The sequence below is a fragment of the Homo sapiens genome, chromosome 7, assembly GCF_000001405.40.
Source record: "Homo sapiens chromosome 7, GRCh38.p14 Primary Assembly".
NCBI lineage: Eukaryota > Metazoa > Chordata > Mammalia > Primates > Hominidae > Homo > Homo sapiens.
This window is the reverse complement of record NC_000007.14, coordinates 33,902,829-33,920,659: the sequence shown is the minus strand read 5'-3', so window position 1 is coordinate 33,920,659 and position 17,831 is coordinate 33,902,829. Positions and strand designations below refer to the sequence as shown.

Here is a 17,831-nt window from a genome sequence, read left to right as displayed (position 1 = left end):
AAAGTCAGGAGTTCAAGACCAGCCTGACCAACATGGTGGAACCCCATCTCTACTAAAAATACAAAAATTAGCCAGGCGTGGTGGTGTGCACCTGTAATCCCAGCTTCTCAGGAGGCTGAGGCAGGAGAATCACTTGAACCCAGGAGGTGGAGGTTGCAGTAAGCCGAGATCGCACCACTGTACTCCAGCCTGGGCCATAGAGCAAGACTCTGTCTCAAAAAAAAAAAAAAAAAAAAAAACACAACGGAGTTTCCCTGGTCTGCACAGGAGCCAGCCAGACCTACTCCATCAGGATCTCTGGACCAGGACACAGGAAATCTGCATTTTTTAGCCTTCCCTGGTGGTTCTTACACACATTAAAATCTGAGAGCCACCACTGCTGGGCCCCTGGTGGGAGAACAGAAGAAACTAAAGGCAAAATTCTAACCACTGACTTGTTAACGACCTACAACTGTGTGAGAGAAGACAAGTAGCCAAATTGGCTACTTGAGGGAGGAAGGGGCAGAGGCCCAGGGAAGGGGATAGATCGGGCAACAGAATTGTGTGCCCCTTGTCACTAGTGTTCAGGCTCCATTTTATGGGCCCCCAGCACACATACACAACTATTAGTTTCATCACACATTCATTCACACTTTCATCTAAGATTCTAATGATAGAGGGTAGTTTCCAAACTAAAACCATTATCCAAATGTTATATAAATACATATAGATAGATAGATAGATAGATAGATAGATATGTACACAGATACATAACCTTATAAAATCTAGCACAGTCAAGGACTAACAGGTTGCTCTGACTAATCGAATATTCCAAACAAGAGTTAATATCTCTGGCTTGCATAAGTTAATCAATTTTCAAAGAACTTTAAAGCAATAAAAGACATCTAACTTCAAAACTATCTCAACCATAATTTAATCCCCTTCTGTTCATGTAAAAAGCATTGCTCCTGTCTTGCAGTGCCTCAGGATATTATTAACATAAATGCTCAATAAATGTGTGCTGAGTTTAATGACCATCAATCAATCATTTGCCTACTCCAGTCCTGCAATGCCATTCCCACATTTCCTGCAGAGCTCCTACCATGTGCTCCCCACCTAACCTGAGCACTGCTTCTCCCCTCCCTCCACCACTGTCCCACCACCCTCAGAGGGGTCTTGAGGATATACAGAAGATCCCATTAATTCAGAGTTGGAGGTTCACAGATTGAGAGGCATTTTACTATGACACCACATTTTGGCTTTAGTTTATGAACCCAGTGCAAATTCACTCTGAATTTAAATACCCCCTCATTCAGGTACATCGCAATAACCTGGAGGATTATATATCCCTTGCAATAACCTGGAGGATAAATATCTCCCTTGAAAAAGTCTAAAAGTCCTCAAAGCATACATTAGGTTGAACCACATAAAACTGCTGCTCCTATAGGTCAACATCAGACAACTATCAAAAATTTCATAACTCCAAAATCTAGGGACTCCAGATTTCTGTAACATGACCCATTAACATGCAAAGTAATTTAAGAAAATTTTTTTTGCCCTTGGTCAGTATATGGTTTACATGAAACAGAAAAAAATTCACAGTTTTTAACAATTCCCCCCCACACACGTGCACCCATGGAGGAAAAGGAAGCAACACCATCTGGTACATGCATTTCCAGCACATCCCAGCAGGGAGATAAAAGGGCTGGTTCCTCCAACAGAAGCCACCCCAGACTAATGAGATGCACAAAAAGGGTAGATTCCTGCCCCCTTCCCTGCCAGCCAGCTCTTCCACAACTTCTCATTTGAGTCACCTCTAAGGGACAAGGAATTTCATCCTGGTACTCATCTATGTGCTAATGGAGCTGCGGCTAGCTGACCTCTGGTGGGTCCCACTGGGCACCAGAATCATTGTTTCACATGTGCTTGAAAACAGGAAATTACCACAACTCAAGTCTAATGGGCCCCATTCCCCCCAAGGGGCATAAACAGAAGCCCATGGCAAGACCTTAACTGTTTTGGCATAGCGGCTCCCAAGTGAGAGAATATCTGCTTCATCTTTCATGTTCTCTCATTCAGGAAAAGAGTGTTCCCCTGAGACCAAAAAAAACACTGCTATGTGAATGTCTTGATGCTACTGCTTTTACACCATAAATCCACAAAGCAGGAGAGACCCAGCAGGCTGTGAGTGTCTCTGGAATTCATGAATTTCTGGGCAGTAAAGGAACAGAATGAGGCAGGCTTTACTGGAGGCAGAAGCTGCAAGCCCCACAGGCCACTGATGTGGAGCAGCCTCTGCCCTCTGAGCAAAGGGGGAGCAATTTTAGTATCTTGGCACAAATGGCGCTGTTCAATTAGAAAATAATGGAAACTGGGTCCCCCAGTATCTCTTAATAAGACATGGAGCAATCAACATGGCGAAGAATTAAAATGTCATTCATTAATGTTATTGCTACAGTCCATAGACATGCCTCAAAGAGGAACCTCAGAAAATAGGTTTTTAAAAGGAGAAAGGGGGAAGAAATTAAGATCAAGATCCTAGCCAGGTGTGGTGGCTCACTCATGTAATCCCAGCACTTTGGGAGGCCAAGGCAGGAGGATCGCTTGAGGCCAGGAGTTTGAGGTCAGCCCTGGTGATAGTGAGACCCTGTCTCTACAAAAAATAAAAATAAAAATAAACGATGCTAAAAATGTTTCTTATAGAGGCCCAAAGAAATGGAAGAGCAGCTTTGGGTTTTCATACCTCCTTTCCATGGGCCAAGCTGTCCCTACTAAAAATAGCCTTTCTGAGGTCACCCACAGCCAAAGAGGCCAGTAGTGCCACCAGAGTGGCCAACTGACCACACAGGGTCTAAAAATAGGGTGCTTGCCCTATGCCGACAGCATTAGCAGCCATGAAAAATCATCTGGTCAAATATTATCTATGTGACCAAGCATACAAGAGTTGTTTTGGAAAGGCGTGTTTTCATAAGTTAAAATGCAATGATCATTATCTTCCTTATTTGTATTCTATCCTTCTCTTTGAAGTGACTCTGGGTACCATCATTTATCTGCATATCCTCGCTCAGAGTCATGTTATGTCTATTCCCTTGAAGCAGGGCATTTGGGGGACATGCTGTGGTCAGTGAAGATGCCACCCATCCCACCCTCTCATCTTCTCTTGCTGAGTTACCTGCACGAAACCTTATAATTGCCCGTCAGTTTACAAATCTTTGAACTTCTCATTTGGCAGAGGTAGGTTAGTACCACCCATTACCTAACATTAAAAAAAAGAAAGAAAGAAAGCTCATTACACTACACGACATGTACATACAATAAGGCCTTTGTCCTTAAAAGAAAAACATAATTTTCAAGAGAGTCAGCTCCCAGAAGCCAAGGGAGCTAACATCCAAAACCTAATATAAACATGAAGGCTTGTGTCAAGATTTCAGAGTTAGCCTCACTGAAAGGGGCTGGAAATGACTGGAGAATGCCAGCTCCAGGGATCGGGAGACATTTTTCATTGTGACTTTTTGAAAGTGGAAGTCAGATCGCCCCAGAACCTTCCTTGTCTATACCTCCTGCCTTGTCAGGGACATTTCTGCTTTTGACAACAGTCTACTTCTATAAAAGGGAATGTTCCTTTTATCACAAATAAGAGCAGATGTAAATATCAATATGATCTTATATTTTCAAATGTGATTACATTCATTTCAAAAAAAAGACAGTGTTTATATAATGATTATTTAGGATGTCTTTTATAGAGGAGGTTGACCTTCTGTGATAAACTTTCTGGGAGAATCATGTTTTGGAACTTGGAGTTCCATTCTGGGGGGAGCTATCCCAAGTGTTAACAACCCCAACTATAAACAGGAAACTCCAGTCTAACTCCCACTCAAGTCCCAAGGTTGTGGACCTCTTGCTGAAGCTATGGAGCTGACAGAGATGACCACGACGAGGTTCTTACACTTTAAGACACCATCCCTTAAGACGTGAATTCGCCCAACTCACTACACTACAAGGCAGAACATGCTATTACCAAGAAGAAGCAGCAGCAGGCTCTTAGAGGAGTTGGCAGGACTTCTAGTCCCAAGCACAGAAGGCTGTATGAATGTGCAGGGCCCACATGTCCAAATCCAGTCACACCAGTTCATCTGGGCTTGCCCTTTCTAGAAGGAGGCCCAATCCCACAGGTATGCACTAGTGCCTGTGGTTTGCTGGAAAGCAGGATGCTGGCCACATCACACTCTTTAAAATGAAGACGACTCAGAAGCTTCAGGCTCAGCAGGCCCACTGGTCACTTGTTTGACATTTTTGCCTCCTACCTGCCACTTCCTGATTTAATGGCAAGGACTGCAGAGGACAACTGGGCCTCACTGAGAAAACAACACTCTGATTCGTTGTTTGTAAATTGGCACAAGTTAAGCAGGTGAAGCTTTGAAAAGAAAAAATAGAGGAGCAACCCATCTTCCTAAGCCCCAAACAGTACCAGGGTTTCCCATCTTTAACAGAAAAGCAGCAGTCGCCTCTTCTGACCTTCCATTGTCTACCCTGAGAAAAATTCAGAATAAACACATTTCATAGGTGTTGACAATAAATTGCCATAAATACAGTCCATTTAATTTAAAGTATGGCAAAGGCAGTCATTCCATGACACTTCAATGGTGGAAGTAGCTATCATTTCTAAAGTGCCGACCACGGCCCAGACCATGTTTTGAGAATTTTTTGTGCTGTAACTTACAATTCTGACAAGAGCCTCATGATGAAGATAGAGATGTTGAGATATAGAAATGTTAGGCAATTTACATAAAGCCATACAACTATTAAAGGGTAGAAATGAGAACCACTAAGCTATCATTCCCAAAGAATATATTCACTGAAGTAGTTGCTGAAAAGTGGTTTATGGCATACACTTCACTTTCTTCTATTCAAGTTCTTGCCCTTAATAACAATTTCATTTACACTGTTCACAAACAGCTTTCACACACATCTTGGCCTTTAACCCATTCCCATCACCCCAGTTAATGCCCACAGCCAACCATTTAAGTCGGATGAAGGGCATATACCACTGAGACTTGTCCCAGACTTCACAATGAAGGCTCAGAGAGGGTAAGGTGTCTGCTCAGTGGTGCACAGCTACCAGGCAACCAGGTGAGACTCAAACCCATACATTCAGACACACATACGTTCAGGCATACATTCAGGCCCCCACACCACAGCTGCACTTCACTGACAAAATGGGCTTTAAACATTTCATGAGAAAAGAAAATATCTTACCTGAAGACCTAGAATTTAAGACATTAAATTATATCGTAATATTTTTAAAGCATCATTAACAGTTTAATAGAGCAAACTTAAAAGTTTACAATAGTAAGTTTTTATATTAGTCAGACTCTTTTATATTGTTGCTTTTATTCCTAATAAAAAATCCCTCAATGTGGCCTGGTCCATTTTACATTTAACTATAGAAACATTCCAATGACGTTTGCAAAAAGCATATTACTGTTATCCGTGAAATTAGTTTTGTTTGGGTACCTTTTAAAATTTCATGTGGTATTTATTCACTTTTGTTAAGATCTTTTAAAGTCAAAGTTTGGAAAATTTGTGATTTTTGCATTAAATTTTCAAAATCCCTACAGCAATCTTAGTTTTGGATTCCTGCCAACTGGGGATCCACTGAATCTCATCTATGATCAATTCAATCCCATGTGCAAATACGCAGGGTCTGGGGGGAAGGGACCATTGTTCATTGTTTCAAATAGTCCAAGAAGATGAGAAAGTTCCTTATTTGACATCCTCCTAGAATCTTCCAGGTCTTTGCAATGTTTAATGCCACTAGTCTTTGTCTTCTTCAAACGTCTTCTGCCTTGGCATGTACCTTCCTGGTTCTCCTCTTGCCTCTATAATTTTTCCATCTCTTTCACAGGTTTCTCCTTTTCTATCCTTCTCTTAGATACAACCCTTCTTCTAGTTAATATTATAGGCCCATTTTTTTAAAATCTCAATTTAGACTCCTCCCCAAGGCAAATAATTTATTCCCAAAGTTTTGAAGTTTATTTCTATGCAGACAGGTAACAAATTGCTAACCTCTAGTCCTGATTTCTCTATACTGAACTCACGATCTTTTAAGAGCCTACATGGCGTTTCTACCTTGAAGGTCTATCAAGCCCAACACATTACATGTAAACTGATTACTACCCACCCACCCACATGACCCCGTCTCTTCCTACAGTGTCTATGACATTGGCCAGACTTCTCAAAATTCCCTTCAGTTTTTCCCATCTCTCACCTCTGCCATCTATTTTCTTGCCAAGCGCTATAAACGTGGGCTCCAAAACACTTCTGCAAGACTAGTGGTTCTCAATGTCATGGCACGTTGGTGCACTTTTTAAAGGTGAGCCACCCAATCCTGATTAATGTATAAAAATTGTGCTGAAGGCCGGGCGCGGTGGCTCACGCCTGTAGTCCCAGCACTTTGGGAGACCGAGGCGGGCAGATCACGAGGTCAGGAGATCGAGACCATCCTGGCTAACACGGTGAAACCCCGTCTCTACTAAAAATACAAAAAAAAATTAGCCGGGCATAGTGGCGGGCGCCTGTAGTCCCAGCTACTCGGGAGGGCTGAGGCAGGAGAATGGCGCGAACCCGGGAGGCGGAGCTTGCAGTGAGCCGAGATCATGCCACTGCACTCCAGCCTGGGCAACTGAGCGAGACTCCATCTCAAAAAAAAAAAAAAAAAAATTGTGCTAAAACTGAGCATACATTACTATCATGAACGTACCTACCAGACTGAATAATTTACCAAATGGATCACGCAGCAGTGTAAGGCAGGGTGTCACTGAGAGTAAGAGGAGAGAGCTGGTGCTCCAAATATAATTTCAAGAGTGAGCTCTGGGAAGAGAACTACTCTATTCAAGTAGCAGTGCCCTGCTCTGGAGACACCAAGTGACAAGCAAAGTGGCTGTGCTACCAATCACTCCACTGTAATTACTGCTGCATTTTAGCAACTGTGTCTTTTTGGGCATGGTTTGGAGTCTTTCTATCAAAATATTCTATTTTTTTCAATACCTTTGGTATTCACGTAAATACTCTAGAACTGGAATGTAGTCAAAGAAATTCAAAAGACCGGGCAACATTGGTTTATCCCAACACCTTCTTTCCATTCCTACTGCCCACCCCTACTCCAGGCTGCTTGCTCTCACCTGACCACACAACATCGCTGCAGTCTGTTGTCCAAACTTCAGCCTCTTCACACTCTGTATATCCCGTACAAAAGCTCCTAGAGATCTTTATATAAAATTTATTTTATTGTGTCATGTGTTTGCACAAAAATATTAAATGGCTTCTCCCAGTTACATGAATGGAACTGATATCCTTATTATTACATTCAAGATGCTCCCCTTGCTGGTTCCCATGGAGATTTCTAACTCCAGCTCCATCACAGCTTTGGGCACAATAGACGCTGCCATTTCCACAGTCCCAAGCACACTCTCTTTGTGTCCTTCCTCCAACAAGGCTTTGCCTGGATCATCTCTCCTCCCACATCACGGTCCCAGATACCCTAGTCAGAATTCACTGGCAGCCCCCTTAGTACAGGGGTTTGAGTCTATTACAGTGCTTTTCTGTCACTCCTATAAAGTTTCTTATTTATATATGTGTTCGTCTCCCCCATTAGGCTGTGGGCAAGAATCTGTCCTGTTGGTCTTTGTCTCCTCAAAGGTCCCCAGCCAGCACAATGCTTCAAACACAGAAAGGGCTAAAAATAATAAAATAAAATGGAAGAGGGGATGAAGTGTGGAAAGAAGGAAGAAAGAATAATATTATTGAATTTATAACCTGCTATCCCTAGTGCCTTGAGTGGTGTTTTATAGAATTAGAACTGGGAATCAACAGGTCTTAAAATATACACCCAGCTCATTTGCTGATCTTAACTAAGTTCAACAAGCACACTTGACCTCCCACTGCCATGAAAGGTGGTGTTACTCATATTCTTTTATAGCACAAAGGACTCAATATATCATCATTTATACAGAAGGGCCATAGAAGAGGGTGTGAAAAACTGATATCCTTTATTTACCCAACAAATTCATATTAACTAGTTTTATTTTTCCATCATTTTGCCTTGCCTGACTTTTCCCATTATCTCCTATTCTACTGCCCTCCCCCTATTTGCATTCTAGTCTGGGGAAGGGCTCTCTTTCCTCAACATTATTTCCTACACTTAAAACACAATTTACTGTTGATACCCACAGTCAAGTCCAGTGCCTCAAAACAAAATAAACAGTGTTTGAAATGGGATGGGGAAGGGGAGCATTGAGTAAGTAGGCAACAAAAACATACTCAGTTCTGGAAAGGGGTCGAGAGCCTTCCACAAGGCGGGCCAGGAAAATCCCCATGATGCCAGGCCACTAGGCAGTTTTTCCAGAATTACAGTGCTCCCGAGTCCCAACCCAATCCCTCTGCCAATAAAAGTACAAGTGAAGGTGACCCCACAGGCATAGAGATGTAAATACTCTGCAAGAAAGCAGGCCCCTCTTCCACGGAAAGTTGTGTTTTTTGTTGTTGTTTGTTTGTTTGTTTGTTTATGTTTAATGGAAAGCGAGGGGAAAACTTACACCAGGGCCCAAAGATCACTGGGATCACTGGACCAATAAGGAAGCAGCCTAGATCAGCCCAGTCCAAGCCTGGAGGGACAGAAAAACTCACTAAACATTTCTGACAAACCTTGTTCATGCGTAACAATGGGTGGGTTTGCCATCATTATTCCTATGTCTCGTCCGTCGTCCCTTTTATCATTTTCTTTTGAAATTTTGCATCCTATTCCATATGAGGAAATAAGAATTTTTAAAAATAATGCCATCATCAACAACAGCAATAAAAAATCATTCCAGAGTGTTTACTCTATGCCAAGCCCCAGGCCAAACTTTATGTGCTACATCTCATTTAATTCACATAGCAACTCTGTGAACTAGATGTTGACATCCATCCCACTCTCCAGATGAAGAAACTGAGGTTTGGAAAGGTGAGGTAGTTGTCTCAACTTCACCACCAGTTTGATTTTAACCCAAGACTGTCTGATGTCTGGGCCAAAGTTCTTTGCCAAAATGTTATGATGCCAGCCAAAACCCATGTCTTTCTTGGAAGAGCTCTCCAAATTCTAGACAGTTTGGGTTGCAAGATCAAAACCACTATAACTGCCTCCATAGAGAGCCTACATTAGCTCTGTGCAGGTTGAAAGGACTCTCTGAAGCTCTTGAAGGTATCTGTAGAAGTTTTTAAGTAGTAAACGTTTCCAGCAGAGGGAAACTCTGGTTTAGCAAAGAAGGAACTGACTTCACATCCCAGTTCTGTCTCTTAGTAACTGTGTGATCTCACGAGATTTGCTCTACTTCTCTGAGCCTGAATAAAGCATGGACGAGAATAACTCTCAGAACTAGTCTTTGTGAATTTGCCGACACAATCCTATACATTAACTGTTACCTTTCCCAAAAATTGTTCTGTTGAAAGGTAATTGGTCACATCACCTTCTAAACAGAGTAAAAATAAATAAATCTGATTGCTTCCTTAGTGAGCATCCAAAGTCTAGAAATGACCTGAAACAACTTGGAAAAAGCAAGGCAATCTATGTATTTGTGCATATACTGAGTGCAGTACCTCTCTGAACACATCTGGTCTACTTTATATCTTCTCTCTCTCTGTTTCACACGTGCATACACACATGAATTGAATCCTCATGCAATGTTATCTCCCTCATCCTCAAACATGTGCCTAACACTTGTTTAGATAATAGATATCTATTCTCCAGCCAGTTAATTTGAACAATGAAGAACATGAGGATTTTATGGAGATAAGACACCAGACAGAATCTAAGATGCTGGGAGCTCCTTGTTCAGCGATATTAGATTTTTGTGATTAAAAAAGTAGAAGACAGCAGACAAGGTCTCTCTGTCTTCACTATTTGATTGGCTCCAAGACAGGTGGAGCCCTGATTCTTGTAACATTGAATTTCATGTTGCTTTTTATGAGCAAAGGGTCCATTTCTACATTGCACCTCTGGATTTTAAAGAGGAAATTTCAACCTCAGAATAATGTTTTTTGCTGAACAAAATGTACGCCAAACTAAGCTCTGACTTCGGGTTTTCTGAGTCCCAGCCTCCAAAGTTTTCTCAGGTTTCCAGTACTGGGCCCAACTCACTGGCTCCCGCCATGTCCTCCTATTCTACAGTTAGGTGGAAAAGGCTGAGAAGATCAAGCACCACACTTCTCATGTGTGCTTGGTGGACCTAGGGATGTCCCAAAGATCAGAGAATGGCTTCAGTTTCATTTATCTAGGTGTGGCTGGCTCTCTTCTCAGCTGTACTCCAGGGCAGGCACCAACGTGTTTTCCTAGACATTATGGGAAAAATAATTCTAGCAAGAAAGTGGGAAAATATCATACAAAAACAGTAATAACTGTTGGCTTCCTTTCCTCGGCCCCATAAAAGACCATTTTGTAAGGTAGGGAAAAGTTATGCTTTGCTTTCTGACTAAACAATAAAGCACATGCAGTTTAATCTCAACTGCCTACCCAGTTCCCTAGATTTTAGGACCATGATCCAACTTCTCACCTACCCCCTCAAATAGATGAACTGAAGCTTTTTGGGCCACATACTTTAAAACGAGATTCCATCACCAGCTAACAAACCAGTTATTCTTGGACTGGGACTGGTTCTGGCAAGATGCTCAGGTCTACGCAGAGGATGATAAATGAGAATAAAATTATTCAGCTCTGCTTACAGTGGCCACTGCACCCACTGTCATCCTCAAAAACTCCACAGAAATGAGCTCACTCCAACCTTTGAAACATTTCACAGCTTAAAAGTTTAAATCAGGCCAAGTTGATTTTTGTGGGGTTTTTTAAGCTTTTACTCTGTAATTATATACAGGACTTTGTGCCACCTATTTCCTCCCAACTGTAACATTTTACATCTTTTTTAAGCATACGTTGACGTTAGCTTTTTCTTTCTTTTTTTTTTTTTTTTGTACATGTTATGAAATAAGATATGAGCTTATACTCAGCCTTAGGTACCTTTCTGCCAAAAGGCTGGACCAACACAAACTAAATATGACTATTTTCTTTATCCAAAGTACAGTTGAGACTATTACATACCCTCTTAATGTACATACATAAAACCAGCTAACCACTAACGCTCCCTGCAGGTCAACTGAAATCATAACGAGATTTTCCTTTCATATAATGCGATTAACAAATGTCAACTAACTGAACTCCTGAAAGACTCAAAAGAAAAAACAAAATAACCCAAGGAACGCCAAAAGGTAAAATAATTTGGATGTTCTTTCTATTTTCTCCTTACTTTCTCACATCTTTAACTCAACAAATAGGCTGTTTCTTATGGTTATAGGCATGTGCTCTAGAGGCAGACAAAACTGAGACAGTTTCGGCTCCACTATTTACTCAAATGCAACCTTCACAAGCTACTTAGCCCCCTATGCCTCAGTTTCCTCATCTGTAAAATAAAGGTAAAAGCCCTCAAAGGAGTTTTGTGAAGATTAAATGAAATAATGCAGGCTTAGATGAGGCCCTACAAGCAAAAATAAAATAAAATAAAAATAGTACACATAAATGTTTACCATTGCTATTATTATCAATTTGCTCAATAGGTCTACCTTCCAGCCTAGGTACAAAAATGCCAAGTAGCTTCCTGGCTGTCCGGAGTGCTTTGAAATCCATGAACTGCAGTGGGTTCGTGGAAATGTACAAGAGTGTTATACAAAGAGATAAGTGGTCATCCATCTATTATTACTCAATTTTACCAAGTCATTACAAACGTTTGGGAAGCAGCAATGACTGTGACAACTTGGACCCCATAATTCTAAACCCCTGCAAAGGTCATGATAACATATCACTGAGCCTTTCAGCCAATGAAAGAGCTCTGTAATGGGTGAAGCTGATAGCCAAAGTCCTAATATTACACATTTAGAAAGGATTTCTGACAGCACTCACCCAAGGCAGATACCTACAACTGTTACTTAAATGTTGAAGACATAAATAAACCTACTGCCCTTCTGAATTTAATTGATACTTTTCTGTAATAAATATCACTCCCACTTGAATTCCAACTGATGCATCTTTTCAGATGTAATCTTTACCTTCAAAACTGCAGGACTCTAACATCTATCTTCTTATCACTAAGTCTCCACTTTCAGAGAAAGGCACTATTTTTAGCAGGGGTAGGAGTACTGAAAAGGGGGGAATGCTGTGGGGAGAATTTCTCATAATGTTATTTGGGAACAGTTTACAAAACTCAAACTACATACGTAAGCTTGATAAGTACTAATATTGCTGAAGTGAAAACAATATATTTATATGCAAAGCTCTCGGCACATTTAAATATTACTTGGTCAAGGTAATTTCCTCTGAAATCTTAATAGATTAAGATAAAATAATTCACTCACATTACACAGATAAGAAAAATAAAAAAGGAAGATTAAACACACATACACACACACTGCATTTGTAAATCTACAACTGAGTCAAAATTTAAACTGAAAGCTTCTTTTCAACAAATTATTTACTAAAAGATCATCAATGAACACAGCAACCCATAAATATGCAATCATAATACACCCTCTCTCAGCTCTGTTTTATTAGGCAGCAATATTTATTGTGTCAGCAAACGCAGTGCGTTTTTACTTGTTTCTGTTGATTTCCTTAGTCTTCCGAACCTGATAATTGTTTGATACAGCCATTTACCTTCACCCATTTATCACTTCAAAACATTGACCTCAACTCTTGTCATGAAAAAATTTATGTAGTATAAACTCAGATAGCTTGGCTTTTGCCTAAACCGAAATGAATTCCTTCTCCAGCGCCACACAGCATGCTGATCTAGCAACAAGTAGTCCTCTATCATTCTGGGGCTTTGCATTTGACTGCCTTAATGTATTTCCAACAAGGTTTTATAATGTGTAGTTTCTAACCAAATTTTGCCAAAAGTGATTGGCATGTAAAACACTCCTAAGCAAAAATGTTTACCTTGTAGGTCTATATTTCATCTCAGAAATTCTTATTCACATTACTTAATCTCCCCCAAGTGGTTACTTATTAGACTTATCATTAACTACTAAACTAAAATAAATGGAAACAAATTATTTTTTGAGTCTTCTAACCACTGATAGTGTTAACTAAGCAGCTGACAGCCAAGTGTCATTCTCTATTAAGGATGGAATTGTCCTTTCCGACTCATGCTTCCAAATCAGAAATAAAGACAGTATTTGAGGGTTTAGGGTATAACAGGCAAAGAAACCCGAGAAAGAAATCCAGAATTACATCTTGTCCTTATGTTTGTTTTTTGTGGCTGTCACCTCTCTTTCCCTTTGTCGCATACCTTATTCCTGACCTTCATACTTAAATCTTATCTCATCATTTTCCCACTGAGCTTAAATGACAGAACCAACGCAGAAAGTTTTGTTGTCCCAAGAATTTGGTTGTAGTAATCATTACTGGAAACAGACATTACAAACTGTCATTTCACCGAGACGTCATACAAAGCCTATCTGAAATTTACGTCTATAAGGATGATGTCAAAGATAAGAATTTCCAGCTGGATGAAATGGAAATTGCCAAAGTCCATAAAACTCAGAAATTAACTGGATTCAACTCACAAACTATGTACAGTTATGTGCAATTTTGTAATGATAAAGACAATTTGTAAGATCTGGTTATATTATCACATTTAATGGATTCACCTTATCAGAGAGAGCAGTTGAGTTCATATTACCTGATCTCCACACTTACCAAGCAGACACACATTATGCAAGGGTTGTCTGTGATAAATGGAATCTGGAGGACTTCACCTTCATTTTCACATTTTGCAACAGAACCTGAAATTCAGGGGGGAAAAATGTTTCATTTAAAGTTAGCTTAGCAGCATGATTTCAACATTTAAAATTTTTACACTAATCCTTTTTGAAACCTCTACCCAAACTTCAGAATTCTTAATGTGGTTTAAATTATTAAATTCACCAAAGCAAAACCTCTGCCCCCAACTCCATTTTCAATAATTTTATTTAAACAGGTTCAAAAAAGAAAAGACTATGATATAGGGATAAATTATCTGTTCTCAGATGGTCTAAGCACAATTCCAAGTATTTCACTGGATTTTTAATAACACTCCTCCTTTATGAAGATATTTCAACTAAGCACACAGCCCCATACGCAAAGAAAAAAATAAAAAATAAAATTTAAAAAAACCCTCAAATTGGGGCAGATTTTAAATTGACCAAAACTCAGAACTGAGTCAATAAACAGGCCTTTCTATGAATCTGTCTCGCATTGTCTTAGGTTTAAATCACTTTTTGAAACGCAATCCCCTTTTCCCTTCTCTTAGAAATTGACTCCATATTTTCTTTTCTGCACCAGGTGTCAGTAAAGTATGTCCTTCAGAATAGCAGCTGAGGTCTTCACCTGCCTGAAAACATATAATTATTATATCCGGCTATTAGTGCCCTTTTTAAATGATAGTTTCTTTAAATTCAAGGTCTTGAGAGCCAGTGCTTTAAAAAGCACTCCTAGCACAGTGGATGTATTGCAACCCCAAAGATGAGAAAGGAAGATGTGCGGAAAACTGCACAAATTTTTTTCCTGAGTTCTACAGAGGGAAAGATTAAAATAAAAGTTGAGGAAAGCATTAAAAATAAATAAAATAATTTCTCAAATTCAAATAGAAGAATGTCTATTATTACTACATTGAAGGCAACAGCCTCTCAGCCCGCAACCTCTTCACCAGCCTTCCCAGCCCTCCCGGGGCTTCGCTTCATCCCCATCGACCAGCGCAGGGCAAGCGCCAAGGTGCGCGCTCCCCACCCTCCCATCCCCGGGGCAAGCCAGCGCCACCTTTCCCAGGTACCAAACCGGCGTCCCGGAGGGCCGGTCCCTCCCGCCCCCTCCCCTACCTGTCAAGAAGGAGGAAGCCAGAGACATGGGGACCCCCGAGCAATTGAGTAGCAGCAAGACGCAGCACGTAATCCCAGGCGAGCGGCGGCAGTAACGCTCAGCCAGAGCCCCGACGCCGGAGAACCAGAGCATCGTCACCTGGAGGGAATCCCTGGCGACTGCAGGTCCCGCGCCGCCGCCTCTGCTCAGCTGCCGCAGCTCACAGTCGAAAAGGGCTCTCAGCCGGCGTGTCGGGAGACCGTCCGCGAAGGAGGGAGGCGGGCGCCCGAGAGCTGGGGGGCGGGGGGGTGTGAGGGAGGGCGGGGGGAGAGACCAAGGTGTGGGGGCGCCCGGGGAGGAGGGGTCCTGCGGCCAGGCTCCTCCGATGCGGCTTTTTTTTTTTTTTTCCTGAGGGAGTTGCTTGCAGTGGCTTAGCAGTCAGCCCCTCAGCGCCGGAGAGGGGGCCAGGAGGAAGGGGTGTTGCGGCAGCCGGAGATAGACTGAGAGGAGCTGCGGCGCTGCCGACTGCGCACTGCCGCTCAGCCGCCGCCCGGGCTGCCGCTACTGTTTCGGGGGCTGTCGCTGTCGCTGCCGCAGCGTCCTCCACTCCCGCACTCCTCACCTCCTGCCAGCCCCGCCGGCTCTCGGCCCTCCCGGAGCGCGCTCGCTCCGCCGCAACAGACGTGGGCTCACCGGGCGCCTCCCGGAACCCGCTGGGGGCGCCCGGGCGCAGGAGGGACTGCGCGATAGCTGCAGCGGGAACTCTCTCGGCCCAGCTTCCAGTTCCCCAGCCCCTCCAGGGAGGCCAGGGCCCCAGGGCGCGGACCAGAGCCGAGAAGGCGCGTCTCCACTGTCCGGGCGAGCGCGGCTCCTCCTCCCTTTCTTGGGGGAGCCCCGGGGATGCCGCAGCACTAGCGCTCAGGCCCGGGTGCCCCAATCCAGCGAGGGAGCAGCAAACGGGACGCAGGGGCGCCCCACCACCCTGCTCGCTCCCGGGTGCCCCACCTTTGGGAAGGAGCGACACACCCGGGGCAGTAGGGCCCCCGCAACTTTTCATGCCCTGCTTTGCTTCCCTCTGGCGGGGGCGCGACAGCGAACTCAGGGGGCTGAGCGGACAGAGGGGCAAGTGGCCTTAGAGATGTGTTCTGTGCTTAGCTGTCTGCGCGTCCTGACACTAGGGATGACCGAAGTTGAAACACACACAAGGTCGATTTAAAAACGTACCGAGGCAAACGCCTTTCGTCCTTAAAAAATGAACAGTCGCTCCGAGACTCCTCCCTTCCAATCTCGGGCGGACCGGGGCGGGGAGGTGGTGTTTGACTAATCATTCATTCACCCGAAAAGAGGGAGGAACCCCCGCCCCACCGCTCATCTCTGGCGGGGGCCGCCGCGCGGCGGCCTCTGCAGCTCGGAGCTCCGTCGCTCTCTCAGCCCGGCTGCGCCCTCTCGCCTCTGCAGCACTGGGTGTCGGGGAGTCAGCTCCTGTGATCCCCCTGCTGAATCGCCGCCTCCTCCCCACGCAGTGGCACCCTCTACTCAAAAGGGGTGCAATCGCAGAGAGATGATTTTTGTAACCAAAGTACGAAGGCGCGAGGTGGGAGTGAGGGACGCTTGGCAAGTGTTGGGACCTGACGATCAGCTAGCTGTCCTTGAGCTCACGGTGGACTACCGACTTCCTCTGTCCAAGAGTTGAAACCGGGTCCCCACGGAACGGACCTAAGGGTCTCCAGGCAAAGTGGGTTGTTTCCATTGTGGAAACTACAGCTTTGAAAATAAATGAGTCTGTTTGCTGACAGGTTTAATCTAGCTTCACCTTAACCCTTCCCTGCCTCGTTGACTGTTTATTCGTTTTTTCGAGTGATTTGGAGACTTCACTTAATTAGTGCAACATTGCCAACATCGCGACACACCGAGGAGCTGATGCGAGCACGTTGCTGTGACGTGGGAAAAATAAGAGAAGGGAAAACTGTCATTAGCTTAGCATGCTCCATTTCCCTCCCAAAATAGATTCTTACCGTAAAATTTAAATTGAAAGAGAAGGCTGATGTGTGATTCCTTCCCTCCCTCCCCCCACCCAAATAAAGCCATGGCCAGGCAGCTTCTCGGAAACCAGTGTGTTTATGTATTTACTAATCATAAAGATAATATGCAAAAAGAGAAAAATCTCTAAATCCAGCCTTACTTCCCAGGGACTCATTAAAAAATAAATAAAATTAAAATTAAAAATTAAATAAATAGAAACCTTTATTGCTGCAGATAAGTACAATCAGTTGGAACCACTATCTCCTCTATCTAAAAAGATTGTCCCTGGATGAGGCTTTTAGATAAAGTTGTTTATCATAATTTAATTATGGAAAGCTGAAGAATAAGGAAGCTGGGAGACCTTTTGTTGCCTTAGCCATAAATTTGGATAAATGCATGCTATGAAATTGCAAGACATTTGAAGGGTGTGCCTGAGTTACTTTGATATGCCTTCCCTCCCTGACACCAGCCAAACATCCTCAGAATTTGCATGACAAATTTCTTTATGATAGAATCTAGCTGTGTGTGGCATTTCCATAATGTGCAGCATGGTGCTTTGGAATGCACTGGAACTCTCCCTGTAGGTGCAAACCCAAAAACCACCTTAAAAACATTTTCATCTGTCTGAAAGTTTGCGAAGGGGAAAAATGCACAGAAGCCTTTGGCAAACCTGTCTCTTCTTCCTGTTTGTTATAAGCCTCTGCCACCAGCGATTTCCCTTGCTGCCTTCTTGGCAAATGGGCCCTGCTTCCGAAAGAGCAGCCTTTTCTCCAAGGCCTTATCAAGATGTTTTCCCATGCATCTACTGCTGCCATCACCCCTCAAGTGATAGTCTATCAGCTGACAACTGGTCTCTGTCTACACAAAACGGAGATATTCCAGGGTCAAAAAGAAAAAAGAATGCCTGCACTGAAAA

At 43.0% G+C, this 17,831-nt stretch overlaps 1 protein-coding gene across 3 annotated transcripts in view; it reads right to left on the bottom strand.

The window, feature by feature from the left end:
• The window catches only part of BMPER (BMP binding endothelial regulator), a 251,513-nt gene extending 235,768 nt beyond the window's left edge, over positions 1-15,745 (bottom strand). For 2 of the 3 annotated variants that reach the window (NM_001365308.1, NM_001410872.1), the window contains exons 1-2: positions 14,914-15,121; positions 13,757-13,842 (exon numbers count right to left, since the gene is read on the bottom strand). In NM_001365308.1, coding sequence (NP_001352237.1) covers positions 13,757-13,842; positions 14,914-15,046 — 219 coding nt within the window. In that variant the 5' untranslated portion in view covers positions 15,047-15,121. Of the gene's footprint in view, positions 1-13,756; positions 13,843-14,913; positions 15,187-15,515 lie in introns of those variants that run through there. The other variant, NM_133468.5, reaches the window with a different exon arrangement.